Source organism: Homo sapiens, chromosome 8 (genome assembly GCF_000001405.40).
Source record: "Homo sapiens chromosome 8, GRCh38.p14 Primary Assembly".
Taxonomy (NCBI): domain Eukaryota; kingdom Metazoa; phylum Chordata; class Mammalia; order Primates; family Hominidae; genus Homo; species Homo sapiens.
The window spans coordinates 22,259,952-22,284,345 of record NC_000008.11 but is presented as its reverse complement, the minus strand read 5'-3'; the positions used below and the strand labels follow the sequence as shown (position 1 = coordinate 22,284,345).

The 24,394-nt window shown below is 44.7% G+C and overlaps 1 protein-coding gene and 1 long non-coding RNA gene across 7 annotated transcripts in view, besides 4 other annotated features; one reads left to right on the top strand and one right to left on the bottom strand.

Annotated features, from left to right (window-relative positions):
- The window catches only part of PIWIL2 (piwi like RNA-mediated gene silencing 2), an 82,253-nt gene extending 73,223 nt beyond the window's left edge, over positions 1–9,030 (bottom strand). For 3 of the 6 annotated variants that reach the window (NM_018068.5, NM_001330480.2, XM_005273551.5), the window contains exons 1-6: positions 8,948–9,030; positions 4,762–5,005; positions 3,139–3,226; positions 2,831–2,969; positions 1,106–1,312; positions 74–184 (exon numbers count right to left, since the gene is read on the bottom strand). In NM_018068.5, the coding sequence (NP_060538.2) occupies positions 74–184; positions 1,106–1,312; positions 2,831–2,969; positions 3,139–3,226; positions 4,762–4,959 (743 nt within the window). In that variant the 5' untranslated portion in view covers positions 4,960–5,005; positions 8,948–9,030. Of the gene's footprint in view, positions 1–73; positions 185–1,105; positions 1,313–2,830; positions 2,970–3,138; positions 3,227–4,761; positions 5,006–8,316; positions 8,780–8,947 lie in introns of those variants that run through there. The other 3 variants (NM_001135721.3, XM_047421924.1, XM_047421925.1) reach the window with 1 other exon arrangement.
- Positions 8,105–8,750: an enhancer, noted in NCBI's record as "H3K27ac-H3K4me1 hESC enhancer chr8:22133109-22133754 (GRCh37/hg19 assembly coordinates)". NCBI's record gives its function as "activates a minimal SCP1, AML or CMV promoter by ChIP-STARR-seq in naive and primed H9 embryonic stem cells {active_cell/tissue: H9 hESC(naive and primed)}" and the evidence as "EXISTENCE:reporter gene assay evidence [ECO:0000049][PMID:30033119]".
- A 153-nt stretch (positions 9,031–9,183) lies between the features above and the next one.
- The window catches only part of PIWIL2-DT (PIWIL2 divergent transcript), a 20,587-nt gene continuing 5,376 nt past the window's right edge, over positions 9,184–24,394 (top strand). The window contains exon 1 of the long non-coding RNA NR_134293.1: positions 9,184–9,367. This is a non-coding gene — a long non-coding RNA (PIWIL2 divergent transcript). The remainder of the gene's footprint in view (positions 9,368–24,394) is intronic.
- Positions 13,717–13,886: an enhancer, noted in NCBI's record as "experimental_102836 CRE fragment used in MPRA reporter constructs". NCBI's record gives its function as "activates a minimal promoter by MPRAs in K562 erythroleukemia cells, with activity observed for the non-introgressed 8:22128058 variant allele {active_cell/tissue: K562}" and the evidence as "EXISTENCE:reporter gene assay evidence [ECO:0000049][PMID:34662402]".
- Positions 22,757–22,926: an enhancer, noted in NCBI's record as "experimental_102832 CRE fragment used in MPRA reporter constructs". NCBI's record gives its function as "activates a minimal promoter by MPRAs in K562 erythroleukemia cells, with activity observed for the introgressed 8:22119018 or rs147647718 variant allele {active_cell/tissue: K562}" and the evidence as "EXISTENCE:reporter gene assay evidence [ECO:0000049][PMID:34662402]".
- Position 22,841: a transcriptional cis regulatory region, noted in NCBI's record as "Neanderthal adaptively introgressed variant 8:22119018 (GRCh37/hg19 assembly coordinates) or rs147647718 in the experimental_102832 CRE". NCBI's record gives its function as "modulates activity of the experimental_102832 enhancer by MPRAs in K562 erythroleukemia cells {active_cell/tissue: K562}" and the evidence as "EXISTENCE:reporter gene assay evidence [ECO:0000049][PMID:34662402]".

The following is a 24,394-nucleotide window of genomic DNA, read 5'->3' as shown; positions in this document are numbered from 1 at the left end:
CAGTTATTCCAGGGGAACTATTTTTTTTACTGCCCTTTAAGAAGTGAACAATACAAAGGAAAGCTGTGAATACCTGAAAGTCACATGATATTGATAAACTGCTTCATTATGACACTGTATTTTGACGAGGTTCAGTCCCAAAGACTGAGGTGTTCCTTTTGATCCTTGCTTCACAATAAGCTCTCTAGAAAATAAAAACAAAAAGCAACTGCATATATCAAAAACAAAAAAACAAAATAACTAACCAACCCACACAACCAACAACAAGAAGATTGGGGGAAGTAACATTTTTTCACATTTTGCTACAGATACACATATCAAGAGGCAACACTTACAGAAGCAAGCTCTGAAGGCTAGAAGGCAAATCGTTAGCAAGACCTAATTAGATAAGCAAGGTCACCCTACCTTTCCTAGTAACATTACCAAATAAACTAGTCCCATTAACTAGGAACACAAGAATGAGTTCTATGGAGAAAGATGAAGCGTCACGATATTCTTCCTAAATTATTTCCTTATCTTCAACATGACAAGGAATTGTCTCAATTGGGAAGGAAACGAAAGGCCGTGAGTCCACTCATTAGTTGCATGCTATATGTCCACTGTCAAACACATCTAACTTCAGAAATTGTCCCACCTTGGCCGGACACAGTGGCTCACACCTGTAATCCCAGCACCTTGGGAGGCCGAGGCGGGTGGATCACGAGGTCAGGAGTTCAAGACCAGCCTGGCCAAGGTGGTGAGACCCCATCTCTACTAAAAATACAAAAAAATTAGGTGGGGGTGATGGCGGGCGCCTATAATCCCAACTACTTGGGAGGTTGAGGCAGGGGAATTGCTTGAACCCGCGAGGCGGAGGTTACAATGAGCCAAGATTGCACCACTGCACTGCAGCCTGGGCGACAGAGTGAGACTCCGTCTCAAAAAGAAGAAAAAATAAATTGTCCTATCTCTTTGTCAATCTCCCACTGGCAAAAAACAAAACACCCCGCAGTATTATTACCCAGGGAGGACCCAACACAAACAGATTTTACAATACTACACACGAGCCAAAATGCAGAGTTTTCACGATCATTACTAAGTAGAGAAGGCAGTGCTCCTGACTTACTTTTCCTTGTGTTCCACAGTCAGGACCAGAGGGCGATCTGGAGAGTGCAGGGGAGACTGGGGCAGAGCTGGTGGTGATGACAGCTGCGGGGGACCCCGGGACGGTGTGCTGAAGGTACAGGGAGGCTTGTCCACTTCTCTGCTGATACCACCTGCTGCTCTTCCCAGTGGTAATAAAGACGCATCTGAACTCCCTCTTCCAAGCGTCCTGAAATGTGGAGAGAGAGGCAAATCAGGGTTTTTTATAATAGCTATGTCCCATCCAGATTATTCCCCCAACTCCACAATCTCTTCCTGGAGGAGACAGCAAAAGGGATCCAAGTTTCAAATTCTCTCAAACTACATATGCCAAGGCCAGGCACAGTGGCTCACGCCTGTAACCCTAGCACTTTGGGAAGCTAAGGTGGGGAGACTGCTTGAGCCCAGGAGTTCAAGACCAGCCTAAACAATACAGTGAGACCCCGCACTATAAAAAATACAAAAATTAGCCAGGTATGGTGGCTCATAACTGTAGTCCCAGCTACTCGGGTGGCTGAGGTGGGAGGATCACTTCAGCCTGGGAGGTCGAGGCTGCAGTGAGCTGAGATCACACCACTGCACTAAAGCCTGGGTGACAGAGATAGAACGAATTTCAAAAAAAAAACACAACATATGCCACCATGACTCATTCACCAACTGCTATTGACTGTCAGAGCCATCTTCCATAGCAGAATAGAGGAGAAAGTTTGACTCAACGTTATTAAAGAATCACCACGGCTGCGTGCAGGGGCTCACGCCTATAATCCCAGCTCTCTGGGAAGCCAAGGCGGGAGGATTACCTGATGTCAGGAGTTTGAGACCAACCTGGCTAATAAGATGAAACCCCGTCTCTACTAAAAATACAAAAATTAGCTGGGTGTGAGGCGGAGGTTGCAGTGAGCCAAGATCGTGCCACTGCACTCCAGCCTGGTGACAGAGTGAGACTGTCTCCAAAAAAAAAAAAAAAAAAAAAAAAAAAGCCGGGTGTGGTGGCGCACACCTGTAGTCCCAGCTACTCGGCACACTGAGGCAGGAGAATCGCTTGAACCTGGGAGGTGGAGGTTGCAGTGAGCCAAGATTGCCCCACTGCATTCCAGCCCGGTCAACACAGTGAGACCCCATCCCTTAAAAAAAAAAAAAAAAAAAAAAGTCCACGCACAGTGGGGCTCATGCCTGTAATCTCAGCACTTTGGGAGGCCGAGGTGGGTGGACTGCCTGAGGTCAGGAGCTCAAGACCAGCCTGGCGAACACAGTGAAACCTCGTCTCTACTAAAAATACAAAAAATTAGTTGGGTATGGTGCCACATGCCTGTAGTCCCAGACACCTGGGAGGCTGAGGCAGGAGAATTGCTTGAACCTGGGAGGCGGAGGTTGCAGTGAGCCAAGATTGAGGCATTGCACTCCAGCTTGGGAGACAGAGCAAAACTTCATCTCAAAAAAAAAAAAAAAAAAAAAATCACCATGATCAGGGTAATTTTTTAAGAGGACAAATGAATTTTTGAACAGCCCAGTGGAGAACTACTTCTTACCCTTTTCCAATGCCTAGCTGTGTTAACAGCTGCTGACTACTCTTGAGAAATATGCATTCTTTAATATAAAACCAGACATTGATTATGAGATGACACAACTCTTCTTAGAGTTGCTCTCTGAACTTACAGAGATATTCCATCTGAATTTGATAGTTACCTGAGAGGGTAACTTTACCCACCTACTCCAACCAACGGAGGTCTCTGCCATCTTGCTGTCCCCAGCCGCCAACACTTTTGGATCCCAAAAAGTGGGAGAGAGTTCCTCCCTGTCCTTGCGTACCAGATTAGCAGACAAGCCTCGACCTAAAATGCCTCTACCTGAAAGAAAGAACCGAACCCCAGCAATGACTATGACTTAAACGTGTTTTAAAGTATAGTTTTTTTTTTTAAAAAAAGCACAGTTACGTTTCTGAAAATAAACCATTTGGATTTTAGAAGAAACCAATCATACATACCACCAAATTTCTCAAGTTAGTTTTCCACATACCTGATGGAAGCATTTCCCGTTTCAGAGGGGTCTTAGAAACTGTTTCAATGCCCAGGCCTCGGAACATGGAGACCAAACCCACAGACTCCTGTGGAAAGTCAAAGAATAAAGTTCTAAGAGGTAGTTTAAAACCCCAGAAACAAGGGCTTTCTTAGTCTTGGTATATAATAAAATCATCTTCAAATTCTATACATGTTATAAGAATAAAGGGAAACATTTTATAAACTTTAAAAAATACCTGTAACTATGTAATATTAGGTCTTAAAGCACAGTTACAGTTATGGCCCATGATTTGATGTGTACAGTATAACAAAATGCAACAGAACAGAATTAACTTTTCCATTTTGATTTGATAAACAGTATAACAAAATGCAACAGAACAGAGTTAATTTTTCCATTTTGATTTGATAAACAGTATAACAAAATGCAACAGAACTTTTCCATTTTTCTATTTTCTGCATATTCAAGGCAAGAGAGAACAAGTGTACTGGTTAATACATTTCAAAAAAGCTGGATCATTTATGAGTATCAGAGGTTTGTGTAACCTGCTACTGTTTTCCTGTGGCAGTCTTGAATGTCTACTACTGTTATACCAGTTGGATCTGACATGAATAAAAGCTACATATAGACTCAAGCAATTCATTTGAGTCAACATGTAAGATTACTTTCATAAACTTTTCTCCTTATAAAAATAATACATTTGACAAATGTAAACTCTACTTAAAATAATCATAACTTCATTAGGTTCTCCCTATATTTGCTAACTCTCTTTGATATATTAATTATAGACAAATATTATTCTTAAAATTACTTTATAATTAAAAGTTTAAGAACATATACACGTTAAGTGTTCACACAGCAGCAGCAATAACTGAAGATCCTTTTTCTTTAAGATTTGGGCAATGAGCCTTCCAAAATGAACAAAAGTATTATTACCTCAGAGGCAGAAACTGCTGCTAATATCATAGAGCCAAAACCAGGTGAAAATCTAAATATTCAGAAAACAACAAGAGATTGTACCTTTAGACCTAACAATTACAGATGGAGGGATGGAGGGATGATCGGAAGCTAGAGGACCTATGGTACTTACCAAGTCCATCTAGCGCTCATTATGAGGTACTTCTTCATACCTCTAGAAACTCTAGATTTGAAATATTTGCCCAGATGTATCTACTTGTTAAAGAAAAAAAAAGACAACCTTGTTTCTGTTTAGGGCTTCCCAGTTTTGCAAGCACTTTGTTGTCATTGTTTGAGATGGAGTCTCGCTCTGTTGCCCAGGCTGGAGTGCACTGGCGAGATCTCAGCTCACCGCAACCTCCGCCTCCACGGTTCAAGCAATTATCCTGCCTTAGCTTCCTGAGTAGCTGGGATTACAGGTACCCGCCACCACACCTGGCTAATTTTTGTATTTTCAGTAGAGACAGGGTTTCACCATGTTGGTTGGCCAGGCTGGTCTTGAACTCCCGACCTCAGATGATCCACCTGCCTCGGCCTCCCAAAGTGCTGGGATTACAGGCGTGAGCCACCGTGCCCAGCCCTGCAAGCACTTTGAAATCCATTACTTCCTCTGACGGCACACAGGTAAGCTGTATGCCACTCCTATGCATCCGGAAGTGGTCTTACCCTTTGTGCTGGCCCCCTCTGTGTGCTTGGTTCCTCTGGCTTTCCAAATACATGGCCTCTGCCTGCAGGTGCTCCCCTGCCCAGAGCTGGGTCCAAAGGTTTAGAAGCTTGTGGCCAACAGCCTGGCATCCGTACAGCCTGGCACTGGGATGGGTGGATAGGAGACTGGCCCCTGAACGATGGTCGGAAAGGATCCATGGACGGGCTGTAGAGAACACGTGTCGATCCTGTTCTGGTTAATTACCTGCCATCATTTTCAAAAGATTAAGATTCCCAATTGTTTTCCTTTTCCTTCAAGACACACTCACAAAGCATTAAAATAGTATTTTGAGTCAGTCCAGTAACACGCCTAGCCTTCTACAACATATTCACTTCAAAGGCTTCTATTTGATCTGTAATATTCTAAACATCCTTCATTAACAATCCCTCAGAGCAGTGGTCCCCAACCTTTTTGGCACCAGAGACTGGTTTCCTGGAAGATAATTTTTCCATGGACCCAGGGGTGGGGGGATGGTTTCAGAGTGACTCAAATACATTACATTTATTGTGTACTTTATTTCTATTATTACATTATAATAGATAATGAAATATAATAATTATACAATTCACCATAATGTAGAATCAGTGGGAGCCCTGATCTTGTTTTCCTGCAACTAGCTGGTCCCATCTGTGGGTGATGGGAGACAGTGACAGATCATCAGGCATTAGATTCTCATAAGGAGGATGCAACCTAGATCCCTCCAATGCGAAGTTCACAAGAGGGTTTGCACAATGAGAATCTAATGCCACCAGTGATCCGACAGGAGGCAGAGCTCAGGTGATACTACAAGCCATGGGGAGCAGCTGTCAATACAGATGAAGCTTTGCTCATTTGCCAATCTCTCACCTCCTGCTGTGCAGCCCAGTTCCTAACAGGCCCCCCAACCAGCCTGTGGCCTGGGGGTTGGGAACCCCTGCCTTAGAGGCCCGTGTCCTCCTTGAACTTACTTATATTTTCTACCCAAATAGCCTCTCACAAAACTCAGTCCTGTGAGTTAACTAGCTGTTGTATAAGGAAGCAGTTTTTTAGGAGGGTCTCCTTCTGTCGCCCAGGCTGGAGTGCAGTGGCATGATCATGGCTCACTGCAGCCTTGACCTCCTGGGCTCAAGTGACCCTCACATCTCAGTCTCCTGAGTAGCTGGGACTACAGGCATGCACCACAACACCCAGCTAATTTGTACATTTTTTGTACAGACGGGGTCTTGCCACGTTGCCAAGGCTGGTCTCAAACACCTGGGCTCAAGAGATCTGCTGCCTCAGCATCCCAAAATGCTGGGATAATAGGTGTGAGCCACTGCACCTGGCTAAGGCAGTTTTTATGTATGAGGATGACTTTGGTTTATAAACAATTTCTTTTCCTCCCCCCCTTTTTTTTTTAGACGGAGTTTCACTCTTATTGCCAAGGCTGGAGTGCAATGGTGCAATCTTGGCTCACCGCAACCTCTGCCTCCTGGGTTCAAGTGATTCTCCTGCCTCAGCGTCCCGAGTAGCTGGGATTACAGGCATGCAGCACCATGCTCGGCTAATTTTGTATTTTTAATAGAGACGGGGTTTCTCTATGTTGGTCAGGCTGGTCTCGAACTCCCGACCTCAGGCGATCAGCCCACCTGGGCCTCCCAAAGTGCTGGGATTACAGGTGTGAGCCACTGTGCCTGGCCTATAAACAATTTCATAGTTAACACAGCCATATCATAAAATTATTGTCAACAAATATTTATGGGTTTTTGCTTTGTTTTTGGCCTCTCTTTCCTACATAAGAGTCCTAACTTTTTTCCAGTCTATGATTGCACCAAATTCTCTTCCTTGATCTGTTTAGCTGCTTCTCCGAATCTCTATCCAATTCTTTTTTACAAAATTCTTCCTTCAGGCTGAGCACACACACACAGTGGTTCATGCCTGTAATCCCAGCACTCTGGGAGGCCCAGGTGGGAGGACCATTGAGGCCAGGAGTTTGAGGCCAGTCTTAGGAACACAACGAGACCCTGTCTCTACAAATAATTAAAAAATAGAAAAAAAAATTTTAAAAACTCTCTTCTTTCAAACTCCATCAGAAGTCTCCAGAGTACACAGTCTTTCTGCTTTGAGCCTACAATACTTGCTCAGTCTCACAGGTTGCATTTAACACCCTTCTCTCTCCCAGGTTACCCGGGGTGAGGCTCTCCCTGGCTTCCCTACCAAATCTAAAGCCCATCAGGTCTCTTCAAAATCACTTCATAACCTGTAGGTCGGGCATGGTGGCCCATGCCTGTAATCACAGCACTTTGGGAGGCCGAGGCGGGTGGATCACTTGAGATCAGGAGCTCAAGAGCAGCGTGGCAAACATGATGAAACCCTGTCTTTACTAAAAATACAAAAATTAGCCAGGCATGGTGGTGCATGCCTGTAATCCCCCCTCCTCAGGAGTCTGAGGCACAAGAATTGCTTGAACCCAGGAGGCGGAGGTTGCAGTGAGTCAAGATCGTGGCACTCCAGCCTGGGTGACAGCACAAGATTCTGTCTCAAAAAAAAAAATATATATATATATATCACTTTATAACCTACAGATTTCAAGACTCCCTCTTTAAGGGGCTCCTCTCATTGTCCTGACTTGCCCCTGATTCCTGAAAAATATTTCTTAACGGAAAAGAATTTTTTTTTTTTAAGAGACAGGGTCTTGTTCTGTCATCCAGGCTACAGTGAAGTGGTGGCATCTTAGCTCACTGCAGTCTCAACCTCCTGTGCTCAAGCAGTCCTCTTGTCTCAGCCTCCCAAGTAGCTAGGACTTCAGGCACCTGCCACCATACCCAGCTAATTTTTAAAAAAAATTTGTAGAGACGGGATCTTGCCATGTTGCCCAGGCTGGTCTCAAACTGCTGACCTCAAGTGATCCTCTCACCTCAGACTCCCCAAATGCTGGGAGAAGCCTCTTCTTAACTTTCAAAAAGCTGTCTTGGCCGGGGGTGGTGGCTCGCGCCTGTAATCCCAGCACTCTGGAAGGCCAAGGTGGGCAGATCACAAGGTCAGGGGTTCGAGACCAGCCTGACCAAAATGGTGAACCCTCATCTCTACTAAAAATACAAAAATTAGCTGGGCATGGTGGCCTGCGCCTGTAATCCCAGCTACTCGGGAGGCAGAGGCAGGAGAATCGCTTGAACCTGGGAGGCGGAGGTTGCAGTGAGCAGAGATCACGCCACTGCACTCCAGCCTGCGCTACGGAGCGAGACTCCGTCTCAAAACAAACAAACAAACAAACAAAAAAGCTGTCTTAAGTATTAGCTACAGAGAAATCATACATTTAAAGAAAATATTAACACACAATTCATAAACCCACAGCGTAAGTGCAGACAGTTCAGGAACTTGCAAAATTTATTGAACTAAACTATCCTCTTTCACACTCTAAACGCAGGATATGACTCCCTTTCTTGAAGGCTATATTTAACTGCTAACACCCCTTTTCGGTGAGCCAGGACTCTGCTCACACCTCCCCAACACCACCCAAAGAATCCCAAGCAATCAGTATGCTAACAGCTACATACTCAGAAGCGCTGGACGGCCTCCCTTAAGGGACATCTGGAATCTTCCTCTTTGTCCACGCTTCCCTCAACCTCCAGCACCACTTCTATAGATTCAGGTAGCTCCCCCAGAGGGCCCTCTCCCAGTGTGGGTTTCCCCCTGGGATCAGGTAGCAGATACTTGGCTGTCCGAAAGGTTCAATGGGGAGCGAACCCAGGACGGGCTGGGCCTGCCTCCCTCGCATCCCTGGGTGCGTGCTCCGCGCTGAGGCCTCGCGACTCGGGCCTAACCAGAAGCAAGGCCCCCGAAGGCGAGTCCCATCCCCTTTCCACCCCGAGAAAAGCACCTTTCCCCAAAGCCACAGCCCTGCCAGGGGTTCTATCTCCTCTCTCAGGCCAAATAAGACGTCCACTTGGGCCTCCGGAGGGCCTCCCCTGCCGCCCCAACCTGGACACCTTCTTGGGGCCGCGGCGCCGGGCCTCGAATAACGACTTCCCGCCCCCGCCCGACCCGCAACCCTCAGCAGCTCCCCGAAGTGGGAGGGGAGAGGCCCGGGAGGGCGGCTCACCCCACGTGCTTGAGCAAAAACCCAACCTGCCCGCCCCCGAGCGACCCTGGCCTGCCTGGCATGCCGCAACCGGGGCCAGTACTCACCTGTGCGCGAGTCCTCGCCCCAGTCGCCCAGCTCCGCGCGGCCTCAGGGGAAGACCGAGCTCAACCCACGCCCCGGGGCCCACATGCTCCAGGGCCAATTTCCGCTCTTCGAGGCCTCCGGGGATGAGCCCATTGGCCACAAGACCTGTCGTTCACAAGAGCAAGCTATCTAATTGGCCCATCTGCAAGAGAGGCTCGTCCTTTCCAGCAGGTTCCCTGTGCAGGGGCGGTTCGTGCGGAAGGAGCGCTGGGAGTTATGTGAACCTCAGCGTTAAAATGTGTTAGGGTTTGGAGATCCTGACTCCCTTTCTGGGGGCAACTCCTATAAACAGATTTAGCCTAAGACTCGCGTGTTGAAATTGACTTGCCCCATTCCTGCCAGTTAAGAGGATTAGCGATACAGGTGGTGAAAAAGAAACGGTAAGCTCGAGTGCGCATTCAAACACCTAATTCATATGATTTCTGCACATCACTTTCGTTATACATAAAACAGAGATAAAAACTAAAAACATCCATTCATAGGGTTGAATGGAAATGTACACACATAATGACATAACGTATGTAAAATACTTAGCACAAGGAGAAGACGACCCTCGATAAATGTTGCCTATTTTTATTGATGCCTAAATCTGTGAGCCAAGAAGAGCTTTCTAGGAAGCAGATTAAATTATCAGTGGTTACTTCAGCAACTACAGAATGATTTTACCCAAAGAAAGATTTCTGACCCTCTCCCAACCATTTTGTCAAATAACTGCATCCCTCTCCCACACCCAGGTTTTACAGTGTGGTTGAGGTAAAGCTTCTGAAGGCTTTGGCGGATGCTATAGAGACATCCAAGGGCTCTGCATGGAATAGGACTAGAGAAGGGTTAACCTTATTTTTTCCAGGCCTCAGATATCCCATGACTTATTTTAATCCACACATACAAGGGCCCTCCCTATCCTTCCCGAATGAGGATAGTCTGAAAATTATTGGAGCAGGATGATTTTCAACTCAGGAATCCAGTTGGCACGATGCCCCTTCACTGTTCCTAGATAGTATTTGTTTACCATGATCTAACATTTTCACTTCCTTTACCACACAACCTTCTTAACTTGCAGCTGTTGCAATGTTATGTTGTAAGCAATTCTCCTGCCTGTGCAAATACTTAATGGTAGCAAGTGCAGTCAAAAACAGTTATACAAACTGTTTTGTAACTTTCGTGAAGATCCAACTCCTTGTTCTTTTAGGAACTCCGACCAAACTTTGCATGACACACTTATTCTATACACATGAAACAATATTTTGGGGGCAGGATTCAGCAAATCTTCTAGTTGAAGTAAGGGAATAATAATCCTCAGATAATTTCCTGAGTATGTCTTCTATTTGGGAACCTAAACCAAGAGCACCATTACAAAGGGTATGCACATTGGGTTTCCTAGATTTCTATATCCTGTCCATCCATGCAAGTGTAGGTGGCCTTCGTACAGTATTTCTAGCTAATCCAGACATCATTAACACTACTTATTTAACCAAAGGAAAATCCATATAGTCCTGCTGTTGATTGGACATAAAAATGGTTGAAGCTTTCTGAAACGTGGACATCTATTTAGGACCTTTCAAAAGCTAATCAACCTCTTTTGGAGATTATATTCCCTAACAGAGTACTTTAATTGTTAATTAGCCATCCCTAGGATATTGATTAAAAAGGACACACATAATCTCATCACAAAAAGATGAGTATGTGAGGTGATGGATATGTTAATTTGGTTTAATCATTCCACAATGTAAATAAATATCAGAATATCATACTGTACCACATAACCATATGTAATTGCTATTTGTTAATTAAAAATGAAAGGGGCAAAAAGAGCACGTATATCACACTAAGAGATAGTATTTTGAGATAAATCACAGATTTTTTTTTTAACTCAAAAAAGTCGTAACACCAAATTCTGTCCACCTGGCCCTGCCAGTCTCTAAAATTCAGAGTGAAAATGGCCCCATAACTATACATAACCTGAATTTTCCTAGGCAGTCATGACTCCAAATACCCTGGGCACTTGGTCACCATAAATATTTCTATTCCAACCATGTATTCTGGTTTGTTGTTGTTGTTGTTGCTGCTGTTCAGAAAATAAGATCCCCAGAGCCACAGCAAGATTAAGGGCAGAAAATTACATTACTGGTGGGGCCTAAAACCTATAGGAAGGATTTCATTTAAAGTAGACCTATGTAGTATGTCTGGGTTCCTGGCAGAGATAACTAGAAATCCTTTCAGGAGAAATACACCAGGCTCCCAAAACTCCCACGTAAAAGGTATGAATAAATATGAGCTCACGAAACACATCAGGCCGAATAACAGGAGGACACACAATCTAATAAAAAAATGGGCAAAAGGTATGGTGGCTCACATCTGTAATCCCAGCACTTTAGGAGGCCAATGTGGGCAGATGGCCTGAGGTCAGGAGTTCGAGACCAGCCTGGCCAACATGGTGAAATGCTGTCTCTACTAAAAACATAAAAATTAGCCAGGCATGTTGGTGTGGTGCCTGTAATCCCAGCTACTCGTGAGGCTGAGGCAGGAGAATCACTTGAACCCGGGAGGCGGAGGTTACAGTGAGCTGAGATCACGCCACTGCACTCCAGCCTGGGCAACAAGTGCAAAACTCTCTCTCAAAAAAAAAGGGGGGGGGGCCAAAAGATGTGAGTGGACCTGTGTCAGTCCATTAGTCCCTTTAGTGTTACTATAAAGGAATACCTGAGGCTGGGTAATTTATAAAGAAAAGAGGTTTATCGAGCTCATGGTTATGCTGGCTGGAAGGTTCAAGACTGGACACCTGGTGAGGACCTCAGGGTGCTTCCACTCATGGCAGAAGGCAAAGAGACCCGGCCTGTGCAGAGATTACATGGAGAGAGAGGAAGCAAGAGAGGGGAGGGAAGCGCTAGGTTCTTTTTAACAACCAGCTCTTGTTGGAACTAATAAGCCCTTTAGTAGAGACAGGGTTTCACCATATTGCCCAGGCTGGTCTTGAACTCAGTGGCTTATGGGTGTGAGCCACCACCCCTGACTGGAGCCGTAAAATTTAATGGAATTTGTCCTTCAGTATCTGCAGAGTATTGGTTTTTAGGACCTCCCTCCATGGATACCAAAATTCACAGATGCTCAAGTCTCTTATATAAAATGGTGTATTTTATATTTGCATATAACCTATGCACATTTCCCTGTATACTTTAAATTGTCTCTAGATGAATTATAATACCAAATACAGTGTAAATGCTACATAAATAGTTGTTACACTGTATTGTTTAGGGAATAATTACAAGAAAAAAGTCTGCACCTGTTCAGTACTGATGCAGCCATCCTTTTTGTTTTTTCCAAATATTTTTGATTTGTGGTTGGTTTAATCCATGGATGCAGAACCCGTGGATAGGGAGGGCCTATTGTATTTAGATGAGATCTTAGACTTGCAATTGATACTGAAACGGTGTAAGACTTTGGGGGCTGTTAGGATGGGGCGAATGTGTTGCATGTGAGAAGAACATGAATTTGCGGGGGACAGAGGGAGGAATGTTAGGGAGTGAATTGTGTCCTCCTTGCAAAACCTATGTTGAAGCCCTAATCCCCTGTATTTGGAGATAAAGTATGTAGGGAGATAATTAACATAAATGAGGTAAGGAGGAGCTCTAATCTGATAGGATTTGTGTCCTTATCAGAAGAGAAAGACATGAGATCTTTCTCTATCTCTATCCCTCTCTCTTCATGGAAGCACAGAGACAAGGCCATGTGAGGACACAGCAAGATGGCGGCCATCTATAAACTAGGGAGATGGTACTCACCAGAAATCAAATTTGCCAGCACCTTGATCATAGAATCATAGTCTCCAGAGCTGTGAGAAAACAAATGTGTGTTGCTGAGGCCACCCAGTCTGTGGCAATTTGTTATGGCAGGCCTGTCTGACTAATAGAATAACAGAAGTCAGCAAGGATGTGGTGGAACAGGAACCCTCAGACATTGCCAGTGGGAATGTAAAATGATGCAGCCTCTTTGGGAAACATTTGGCAGTTTCTCAAAAAGTTAAGAAAAAAATTACTGTAGGAACCAAAATTTCACTTCTTGGTAGCTACCTAAGAAAAATGAAAACATGTCCACACAAAACTTGCATGCAAATGTTCATAGCAGCATTATTGATAATTGCCAAAAACTTCACCTAAATGTCCATCAACTGGTAAATGAATAAACAGAAATTTGTATGCTTAACAATGGGGATGCGTTAAAAAAAAAAAGGAGGCCGGGCACGGTGGCTCATGCCTGTAATCCCGGCCGGGTGCGGTGGCTCATGCCTGTAATCCCTGCACTTTGGGAGGCCAAGGCGGGTGGATCGCCTGAGGTCAGGAGTTCGAAAGCAGCCTGGCCAACATGATGAAAACCCATCTCTACTAAAAATACAAAAAATTAGCTGGGTGTGGTGGCAGGCGCCTGTAATCCCAGCTACTCAGGAGGCTGAGCTAGGAGAATCGCTTGAACCCAGGGGGCAGAGGTTGCAGTGAGCCAAGATCGCGCCACTGCACTCCAGCCTGGGCAACAAGAGCAAAACTCTGTCTCAAAAAAAAAAAAAAAAAAAAAAGGAATAAAGATGTGGTATATATTCACACAATGGATGGATTCATCAATAAGAAGGAACAAACTGCTATGGCATGGATGAACCCCAAAAAATATGTTAAATGAAAGAAACCAGACATAAGAGACCACATATTGTATGATTCCATTTATGTGAAATGTCTAGAAAACATAAATCTATAGAGACAGAATGTAAACTAATGGTTGCCTGGGGCTGGGGTGGGAATTAGGATGAACTGTAAATGTGCATGAGGGCTTTTATTAGGGTGACAAAAATGTTCAAAAACTGACTTATGGCAATGTTTGCACCACTCATTAAATTTACCAAAAATTATTCAATAGGATAAATTATATGATATGATATGTAAAATATATCTTTTTTTTCTTTTTCTTTTTTTTGAGACGGAGTCTAGTTCTGTTGCCCAAGCTGGAGTACAATGGTACGATCTTGGCTCACTGCAACCTCTGCCTCCCGGGTTCAAGCAATTCTCCTGCCTCAGCCTCCTGAGTACCTGGGATTACAGGCTCCCGCCACGACGCCCAACTAATTTTTGTATTTTTAGTAGAGACGGGGTTTCACTGTGTTGGCCAGGCTGGTCTCGAACTCCTAACCTCATGATCCACCCGCCTCGGCCTCCAAAAGTGCTGGGATTAAAGCATGAGCCACCACGCCCAGCCTAAAATATATCTTAATAGAGGCATTTTTAAAAAAACGCACATTAAAAAATAAGCAGAGCACTTTGGGAGGCTGCAGTGGGTAGATCTCTTGAGGTCAGGATTTCGACACTAGCCTGGCCAACATGGTGAAACCCCATCTCTACTAAAAATACAAAAATTAGCCAGGCATGGTGGCACACGCCTGTAATCCCAGCTACTTGGGAGGCTGAGGCAGGAGAATCACTTGAACCTGGGAGGCGGAGGTTGTAGTGACTGAGATCATGCCACTGCACTCCAGGCTGGGTGACAAAATGAGACTCTGTCTCAAAAAAACCAAACCAACAAACAAAAAGAAACACCACAAAATAACATAGAGAAACTACAGTGAACAGAACCAGATCTAGAAATATTTCAAAAAATAGTGTCACTGAACACGGAATATAAATAAATAGCACATTTCATAAATATGAAACAGTATGTTTCAAGAAATAAAGGTGGCAATTGCAACAATGAGTAAAGAGCAAAGGCAGGCCAAGTGCAGTGGTTCATGCCTGTAACCCCAGCACTTTGGGAGGCTGAGGCGGGCAGATCTCTTTAGCTCAGGAGTTCAAGACCAGCCTGGGCAACATGGCAAAACCCTGTCTCTACAAACAATAGTAATAAAAAAAAAATTGGCCAGGAATGGTGGTGCATGCCTGTAGTTCCAGTTACTTGGGAGGCTAACGTAGGAAGATCACTTGAGCCTGGGAGGTCGAGGCTGCAGTGAGCTCTGATTGCACCACTGCACTCTAGCCTGGGCAACAGAATGAGATCCTGTCTCAAAAAAAAAACAAAAAAAAAAAAAGCAAAGGTAACCAAAATTGATGAGGCAAGTTTGGAAAAGAACCAAAACAGAACTTCTAAAAATGAATAAAGTAATAGAAATTAAACACTTAAAGGAAAATTACACAAGAGAATATACACAGCTAAAGAGAGACATCATGAATTAGAAGATCAGCTGAAATATTTACCTAGAATGTAGCACAGAGACAAAGAGATGGAAACATGAGAGGCTAAGAGACACAGAGAACAGAGTTAAAAGGCCCAATAAAGTATGAGATGGAGATAACACAGAAAAAAGAGGAAAGGCAATATTCAACAATTTAATGGGTATGAACTTTTTAGATTTGATGAAAGATACAAATCTTTAGCTTCAAGAAGACCAGTGACTCTGAAACAGAGAAGTAAAAAGAAATCTACACTCAGCACATCATCATTGTAATGCAGAATACCAAAGGCAAAGAGAAGATCTAAAAAAGCAGTCATAAAGAAAAAACACATTATCTATAAATGAGTGAAAAGTGGATTCAGTAACAGTAATATTAATAGGAAAATCCTGGAAGACAGGGTATAATATATCCACAGGCCTGAGAGGTTAAGGGAAAAAAACCTGTCAACCTAGAAATCGTATAGCCAGTGAAATTTTCTTTCCAAAACAAGGGTAAAATAAAGCATTTTCAGAGAAACATAAACTGACAGATTTACCTTCAACAAACCTCTCTAAAGAAATTTCTAAACATGAAGATAAAGAAAAAATGGGCTAGGTTAGGTGGCTCACCCTGTAATCCCAGCACTTCGGGAGGCCTAGGAAGGCAGATCAGTTGATGCCAGGAGTTCGAGACCAGCCTGGGCAACATGGTGAACCCCCGTCTCTACTAAAAATACAAAAATTAGCCAGGCATGGTGGAGCATGCTTGTAACCCCAGCTATTTGGGAGGCTGAGGCATGAGAATCGCTTGAACTCGGAAGGTGGAGTTTGCAGTGAGTCAAGATCATGCCTTTGTGTTCCAGCCTGGGCAATAGAACAAGACTCTGTTAAAAAAAAAAAAAAAAGAAAGAAAGAAAAGAAAAAGAAAAAGGAAAAAAAAAGAAAAAGAAAAAATGCCCCCAGAAGGAAAGTCTGGGAAGAAAAAAGGAATCATGAGTGTAGTAAGTGACTGAATAAAGGGGTAATAATTGTGTCCAATAGATGGATGACTTAGCCTAGATCCTCAGAAGGCAGGGCCTAAGACAAAGATTTAGTGCAAGTATTTTACTGCAGAGTGTGATCCCAGGGACTAGGAGTAAGGGACAGGGGAATGACGCAGGGAGGGAGGGAGAGCTTACTCAAAGATGCATTAGGAAGTTGGCCACTGCTACAATGATCTAGTTGCTCTATCCGTCAGGACCATTTGAGAAGCCATATAAAGTCCATGTCAAGACCACCTATCCTACAGGAGCAAGGAGGATGCTTGTACTATTGACTCTCTCCTTTCCTTTGGTCAAAGACACGCCTCAAGGAGTGTTAAACCCCGGTACTTTGTAGTTGCACCATGGTGTTCCATCCTTTTCCATGCTTTGTCATCAACACGAAAGTCTCAGGGAAGAAGGAAGAAGATGCACAGAGCAAGCCTGAGGTTAAGTACTATCAGGTTGTATCTGTGTAGACCTAGTGGGTACCCACAGAGAACTGGTCAACACAGTGCTGGCTAAATAAAGAGACAGGTAAGACTGAGAAGATGTGCAAAGGGTCATAGAGATGTCCAATACGATGAAGTTTTTAAACAGCCAAAAAAAAAAAAAAAAATAGAGCCAAGAAGTTAAGACAAATAGGCATATAAGTCAGGAGAGAGATAATTATAATAAAAGCATTATAAGGTTCTGGAGGAGGGTAATAAGAATTAACTTTACACTCACTAAGTATGCACATTAAAATTTTTTAAAGAAATACAGTGAGCCTACAAAACATGGTGAAACCCTGTCTCTGCAAAAAATAAAGAAAAAAAATTAGCTGGGCATGGTGGCACACGCCTGTAGCCCTAGCTACTAGGGAGGCTGAAGTGGGAAGATCCCTTGAGCCCGGGAGTTCGAGGCTGCAGTGAGCTGTGATCATGCTACTGCACTCCAGCCTGGGCAACAGATCAAGACCCTGTCTCAATTTTTTTTTTAAGAAATAAAATCTATATATTTCCAGTCAGTGGAGGAAAAACAAATGAGAAAAAATTAATCTAAACAAAAAGGCAAAGAAGAATAAAAATTTATCACAGAAAAATCCGGACAAAAAGGAAACATAAAATAAGTGACAGAAATAAATTCTACTGTGTTAGTAATTACAATATAAATATGTAGAACTTTCCAGGCAAAAGGCAGAAATTGGTTGGGCGTGGTAGCTCACCCTGTAATTCCAGCACTTTGGGAGACTGAGGCGGGTGGATCACTTGACCTCAGGAGTTTGAGACCAGCCTGGCCAACATGGTGAAAACTTGTCTCTACTAAGAAAAAGAAAAAAAAAAAAACTTAGCTGGGCATGGTGGCATGTGCCCGTAGTCCCAGCTACTCAGGAGGCTGAGGCAGGAGAATCGCTTGAACCCAGGAGATGGAGGTCACAGTGAGCTGAGATCATGCGACTGCACTTCAGCATGAGCAACAGAGCAAGACTCTGTCTCAAAAAATAAATAAATAAATAAAAATAAAAAAAACAGAGATTATCAGATTGGATTTTAAAAACAGAATCCAGCTATATAGTGTTTAGTAGATAGAGATAGACATAAGTAGACATAAAATATAATGACAGAGAAAGGTTGAAATTCAGATGGTGAAAACATAGGCCCAGTGCTTTGGAAGGTGGGAGATAACTTAAGGCCAGGTGTTCAAGACCAGCCTGGGCAACCTGGTGAGACTCCATTTCTACCAAAAAAAAAATTTGCTGGGTGTGGTGGTGCATGCCTGTAGTCCTAGCTACTTGGAAGGCTGAGGCGAGAGGATTGCTTGAGCAGAAGAATTTGAGGTTACAGTGAGCTAGGATCCTGCCATTGCACTCCAGCCTGGGTGACAGAGTGGGATCCCATCTCTATAAAAAATAAGAATAAATAAATAAAATCAAGCAAGCACTAATCCTTCAAAAAAGCAAGCAAGCTGGAGTTGCCATGTCAATATCAGACAATGAAAACCTTACAGCAAAAAAGTAGTATTAGAGAAAAAGAGGCTCACTTAATAATGACAAGATTCAAGGAGTTCTAGTTTCATGTGCCAGAATCAGTTGATTGGACCAGGATAACAGCACTGTAACCTGAAAAAGTATCAACAGCAGTAAGCCAGGAGCCCCAAAAGGGGTTCAAAGGTTGGATGGACTCAACTGCCACACCCTGTGCAATGCGGTCTTCTCCCTGGAGACAAACGGCTCACCTGTTATTCCTTTTATTAGGAGTCGCAAGTCTGGCATGCAGTGATAGCTTGTGAATCTGAAGCAGAGTTCTCTACTAGGTGCCCAGTCTGTTGTGGGTGTGCTGCCATGTCTGGTACAATGATCAATCCAGAAAGCAAAGGTGTTAGTCTGGGCAGTGCAGACTCAATCTGCACCTTGATTCCAGTTGGTCTCATCAGAGACACCCTTACCATGGGCACCTAGATCGACCAAGACAGTTCAATCAGCAGCTGCAATGTGCTTCCACAGTTCATGGCCAAAGACAAAACAAAACAAGACAAAAACAAAAATCTTTTTTTTTTTTTTTTGAGAGAGTCTTGCTTTATGGTCCAGGCTGGAGCGCAATGGTGCGATCTCGGCTCACTGCAACCTCTGCCTCCCAGGTTCAAGCGATTCTCCTGCCTCAGCCTCTGAAGTGGCTAGGATTACAGGCACCCGCCACCACGCCCTGCTAATTTTTGTATTTTTAGTAGAGATGGGATTTCACCATGTTGGCCAGGCTGGTCTCGAACTCCTGACCTCAGGTGATCCGCCTGACTTGGCCTCCCAAAGTGCTGGGATGACAGGCGTGAGCCACTGTACCCAGCTGACAAAAATCTTTTTAAAAAAAGTATTATTACTTTTAGAGATGTGTCTCATTATATTGTCCAGGCTAGAGTGCAGTGACTATTTGCAGGTGCAGTCATAGCTCACTGCAGCCTCTAACTCTTGCGCTCAAGTGATTCTCCCACCTCAGCCTCCCAAGTAGCTGGGATTGCAGGTATGCACCACCATGCCAGGCTAGAGAAATACTTTATCTGCCAGTCTGTAGTTTTCCAAGTGGCCCAACTAAGGAGCTAGGTCATTGTCAGCAGCCTGAGTCAGTAAAAATATAACAGAAAGAGGTTCATCAAGGAGTACTGACCTGGGCTATGAGAACAGCTTTGAGTTCTGCCTACCAAGTGGAGTGACCATATCTGTTTTCCATTCCACATAGCAGCCCAGTTGGACAGCACTGGCTTCAGCTTAGCCAAGCCATCAGTGAGCCAGGCACAGGCATTTAGGGGAACCTCTGTGGATTGTGAGCCTTGTTGAGCTAGTGGCTTTGCTTAGGCTGTGGGGTGGAGGATAAAATTTCCCCTAAAAGAATAGCTGCCGTTTTGTGTTTTTTTTTTTAATTCATGTAAAGCCAAAATGCCACTAGGGCCAGGCCAGCTGCATACTGAATGCACCATTTCCATCGGACAAGAGAGGCTTGTCAGGCCCTTCCCACATTGTTAGCTTTGAGTTGGAATCATGCCACCCCAAAATGGGACTATCAGTCACAAGGCCTTTATAAGGATGTGCTGTGCACACTTTGTCAGGTGCTCAGGGTTTTTTTAAGAGACAGCATCTTGCTCTGTCATCCAGGCTGGAGTACAGTGGTGTGATCCTGGCTGACTGCAGCCTGGAACTTCTGGGCTCAAGCAATCCTCTCGCCTCGGCCTCCCGAGTAGCTGGGACTACAGGTGAGTGCCACCACTCCTGGATAATTTTTAATTTTTTTTTTTTTTGTAGAGATGAGGGTCTTGCTATGTTGTCCAGGCTGGTCTCAAAATCCTGGCCTCAAGTGATCCTCCTGCCTTGGCCTCCCAAAGGGCTGGGATTACAGGCATGAGTGCTCGGTTTTGACGAGAACCCAATAGCACATTAAGAGCTGCTTTTCAAAAGGGGTGTATGTCTTACGTCAGGAAGACAACAAATCCAAAACCTCCCAAGAGGCACCTCCAGGTGATGGTTGCCTCCCTTTAGCACATGCCCCGATCAGTAAAATCATCAATCAGGAGGACTTTTAGGTCAAAGGGGTCATTAGCGCTGTGGGGTCCCAAAGACCCTAGCACTGCTCTACGTGCAGTACACACTGGTGGGTAGAATGCCCTTCAGCCTTTATGAGCATTCACAGGACATTGATGTAAAACACCAGTGCCCATTGTACACGTAGCTTGGGGAGCCACAAGGACTGTATGTTGAATAGACTCAAAGCCGTACCCTACGAGGTCAGTGTCCTGGAAAAGTGAGGGACATTCTTCCGCTGGGAGGAAGCTAGGAGACTTTCCAGCCATTATCAGTTTTCTTTCTCTATATGCTCAGAAATGTGGTTACAGATTCTTTAGTGCATACTTGCAGCATTCACGCAATAATAGTCATGCCTCTATTCTTTCAACCAGCACTTATTTGGTGCCTATTATGGGCAAGAAATTAGAAGTCCTGGGGATACAGGCATGAACAAAACCATCTCTACTCTATAGCTTGTGTTCTAGGGGGAATATCGACAGGAAAAGGAAATACATGGTATGTAAGTGCTATGGAGAAAAAGAAAACAAAGAAAAAGAAAAAGAAAACAAGAAAAGGGGTGTAAAGACTGTCAGAGGCCAGGAGCGGCTCACTCCTGTAATCTCAGCACTTTTTGGGAGGCTGAGGTGGGTGGATCACTTGAGGCCAGGAGTTCAAGACCAGCCTGGCCAACATGACGAAACCCCGTCTCTACTGAAAAAAATAAAAATAAAAATTAGCCAGGTGTGGTGGCGTGTGCCTGTAGTCCCAGCTACCGAGGGGGCTGAGACATGAGAACTGCCTGAACCCAGGAGGTGGAGGTTGCAGTGAGCCGAGATACTGCCACTGCACTCCAGCCTGGGTGATAGAGTGAGACTCTGTCTCACAAAAATAACAACTTAAAAATTAAAAAAAAAAAAAAAAAGAGTGTCAGGGATGGGAGTTTACTAATTTATGTAGGGTGGTCAGGAAAGTCTCAGAGACCCGAAGAAATGGAGGAAACAAGACATGCAGCTATCTGGGGAAAGCAAGTTCTAGGCAGGGGGGAAAGTAATGGGAAAGCTCTGCACCTGGAACCAGCCTGCTGTGCGACAGAAGTAGCAAGACCTGTGCGACTGGAGTGGGATGGCCTGGGAGGAGAGTGGGACATGAGGCCCCAGGGGCCCCAGGAGGGTCCCATGCTAACTTCTGTAACAGACTGAACAGACGGGCGGTGGGTAGGAGGGGGTGATGTATCATTGAAGAGGCAAATGGGGCCGGGCGTAGTAGCTCATCCCTGTAATCCCAGCACTTTGGGAGGCTGAGGCGGGAGGATTCATTGAGCCCAGGATTTTGAGATCAGCTTGGGCAACCGACATGCTGAACCCTGTCTCTACAAAAAATATAGAAATTAGATAGGCATGGTGATGTGTGCCTGCCTAAAAAAAAAAAAGAAAGAAAAAAAGAGGCAAATGTAAAAATCTGTTATCTGATCAAAGGATGTTTGGCCAAGAGTGGTAGTGCTGGAAGTGGGGAGAGATGCTAATAGTCTGGATAAATTTCTTTGGATTATTTTGAAAAACATAACCACAACACCATTATCACAGCTCAAAAGAATGAACAACAATCATTTAATATTATCAAATATCTAGCCAATATACAAATGTCCCTAATTGTCTCAGGATTTTTTTTTTAAGTTTGTTAGAATTGTCAAAGAAACAAAGCCAGGCCAGGCACAGTTTCTCATGCCTGTAATCCCCGTGCTTTGGGAGGCTGAGGGAGGAGAATCACTTGAGGCCTGGAGTTTGAGATCAGCCTGGGCAACATAGTGAGGCCCCTCTCTCTACCAGAAAATTTTAAAAATTACCCGGACATGGTGGTGTGTGCCTGTAGTCCCAGCTACTCGGGAGGCTGAGGCGAGAGGATCACTTGAACTTGGGAGGTCGAGGTTGCAGTGAGCAGTAACCACACCACTGCATTGCAGATGGGGTGATAGGGTGAGACTCCATCTCTAAAAAAAAAGAAAATTAAAAATTAAAAAGCCAGACACCAGTTAAAGCAGTGAAGACAGTTTTTATTTAGTAAGTACTAACAGTAGGGGAAAGAGCTGAGTTCCATTCTAATTTTCAAAGAGGTAACTGGACCTCTTAAAGGGAGAAAGAGATGCATGGTGTGGTGGCTCATGCCTATAATCTCAGCACTTTGGGAGGCTGAGGCGGGAGGATCTCTTGATCCCAGGAGTTCAAGGCCAGCCTGGGGAGCAAAGTGAGACCTTGCCTCTAATTTTTATTTTTTTTAATTAGCCATAATCCTAGCTACTCAGGGGGCTGACGTGGGAGGATTGTTGAGTCTGGGAGGTCGAGGCTGCAGTGAGCCGTCCACCTCCCCATTCTCTTTCTCCTTTTATTTGAGACAGGATCTTGCTTTGTCACCCAGGCTGGAGTGCAGTGGTACGATCACAGCTCACTAGACATAGGAAGTTTAAAGCTGGCCGAGCGCGGTGGCTCATGCCTGTCATCTTAGCACTTTGGGAGGCCAAGGTGGGCGGATCACGAGGTCAGGAGTTCAAGACCAGCCTGGCCAATGTAGTGAAACCCCGTCTCTACTAAAAATACAAAAAAATTGGCTGGGCGTGGTGGTGGGCGCCTGTAGTCCCAGCTACGAGGCTGAGGCGGGAGAATGGCGTGAACCCAGGAGGGGAGTTTGCAGTGAGCCGTGATCACACCACTGCACTCCAGCCTGGGCAACAGAGTGAGACTCCGTCTAAAAAAAAAAAAAAAAAAAAAAAAAAAGAAAGTTTAAAGCCATGATTCTGGCTGAGATTGCTGAGGGAAGCAGGGTAGACAGATAAGAGAAACCTTGAAAGGCCTGAGCCCTGGGCATTCCATATTTAGAGCTGGAGAGATGAGGAAGTACCAGGAAAGGAGGCAAGGCACACACATAGCCCCTGACATAAACCATCTACATTGTCATGGCTCAGTAGTCCAGGATCACCTGAAGCAGATGATCCTCCTACTGATGTATCTTCAAAAGTCTGTAGTAGCCTAACACTGTGCCCCAATGACCATGCCACTCACCTCATCTCATCACAAAGGCATTGTACCATCTCACATCATCACAAGGATGAGTACAATAAGATGTTGAGAGAGAACCACATTTACATAACTTTTATTACAGTATATTGTTATAATTGTTCTCCTTACTGCTGTTAATCTCTTAATGTGCTAAATTATAAATTAAACTTCATCATAGGTATGTATGAGTAGGAAAAAACATAGTATATCTAGGGCTCAGTGCTTTCCAGTTTCAAATATCCACTGGGGGTCTTGGAACTTGTCCCCTGCAGATAGGAGGGGACTACTGCTTTGTATCCTGTGGGGCTGGTCTATATGTGTGGGGAGTGGGTGAATATGGGAGTGGTCTATATGTGTGTGAAGGGGATCAATATGTGTGGGTAAGTGGGTGAGGGAGGTGTTTGCTGGAGCCGTATCCTTTGAGTGGACAAGAGGGAATGGGATCTAAGGCCCACTGAAGGGTCTTGTCTCAGGGAGGAGCAGGCAGTTCATCCATAGGTTTCCTTTTTTTTTTTTTTTGAGATAGGAGTTTTGCTCTAGTTGCCCAGGCTGGAGTGCAATGACACAATCTTGGCTCACTGCAACCTCTGCCTCCCAGGTTCAAGCAATTCTCCTGCCTCAGCCTCCCAAGTAGCTGGGATTACAGGCATGTGCCACCACACCCAGCAGATTTTTTTATTTTTGGTAAAGGCAGGGTCTCTCCTTGTTGGTCAGGCTGGTCTCAAACTCCCGACCTCAGGTGATCTGCCTGCCTCGGCCTCCCAGAGTGCTGGGATTACAGGCGTGAGCCACTGCGCCCGGCCAGACAGTTCATCCATAGGAATAGGAGGCAAGAACAGGCACCTGGACGCAGACTCAAGATGTGGTAGTGGGAACCACACCCTCTCCAACTGCTTCTATTTTCTTTTTCTTTTTTTGACACAGTCTTGCTCTGTCACCCAGGCTGGAGTGCAGTGGCGCGATCTTGGTTCACTGCAACTTCCGCCTCCTGGGTTCAAGCAATTCTCGTGCCTCAGCCTCTTGAGTAGCTGAGATTACAGGCACCCGCCACCATGCCTGGCTCATTTTTGTATTTTTAGTGGAGATGGGGTTTCACCATGTTGGCCAGGCTGCTCTGGAACTCC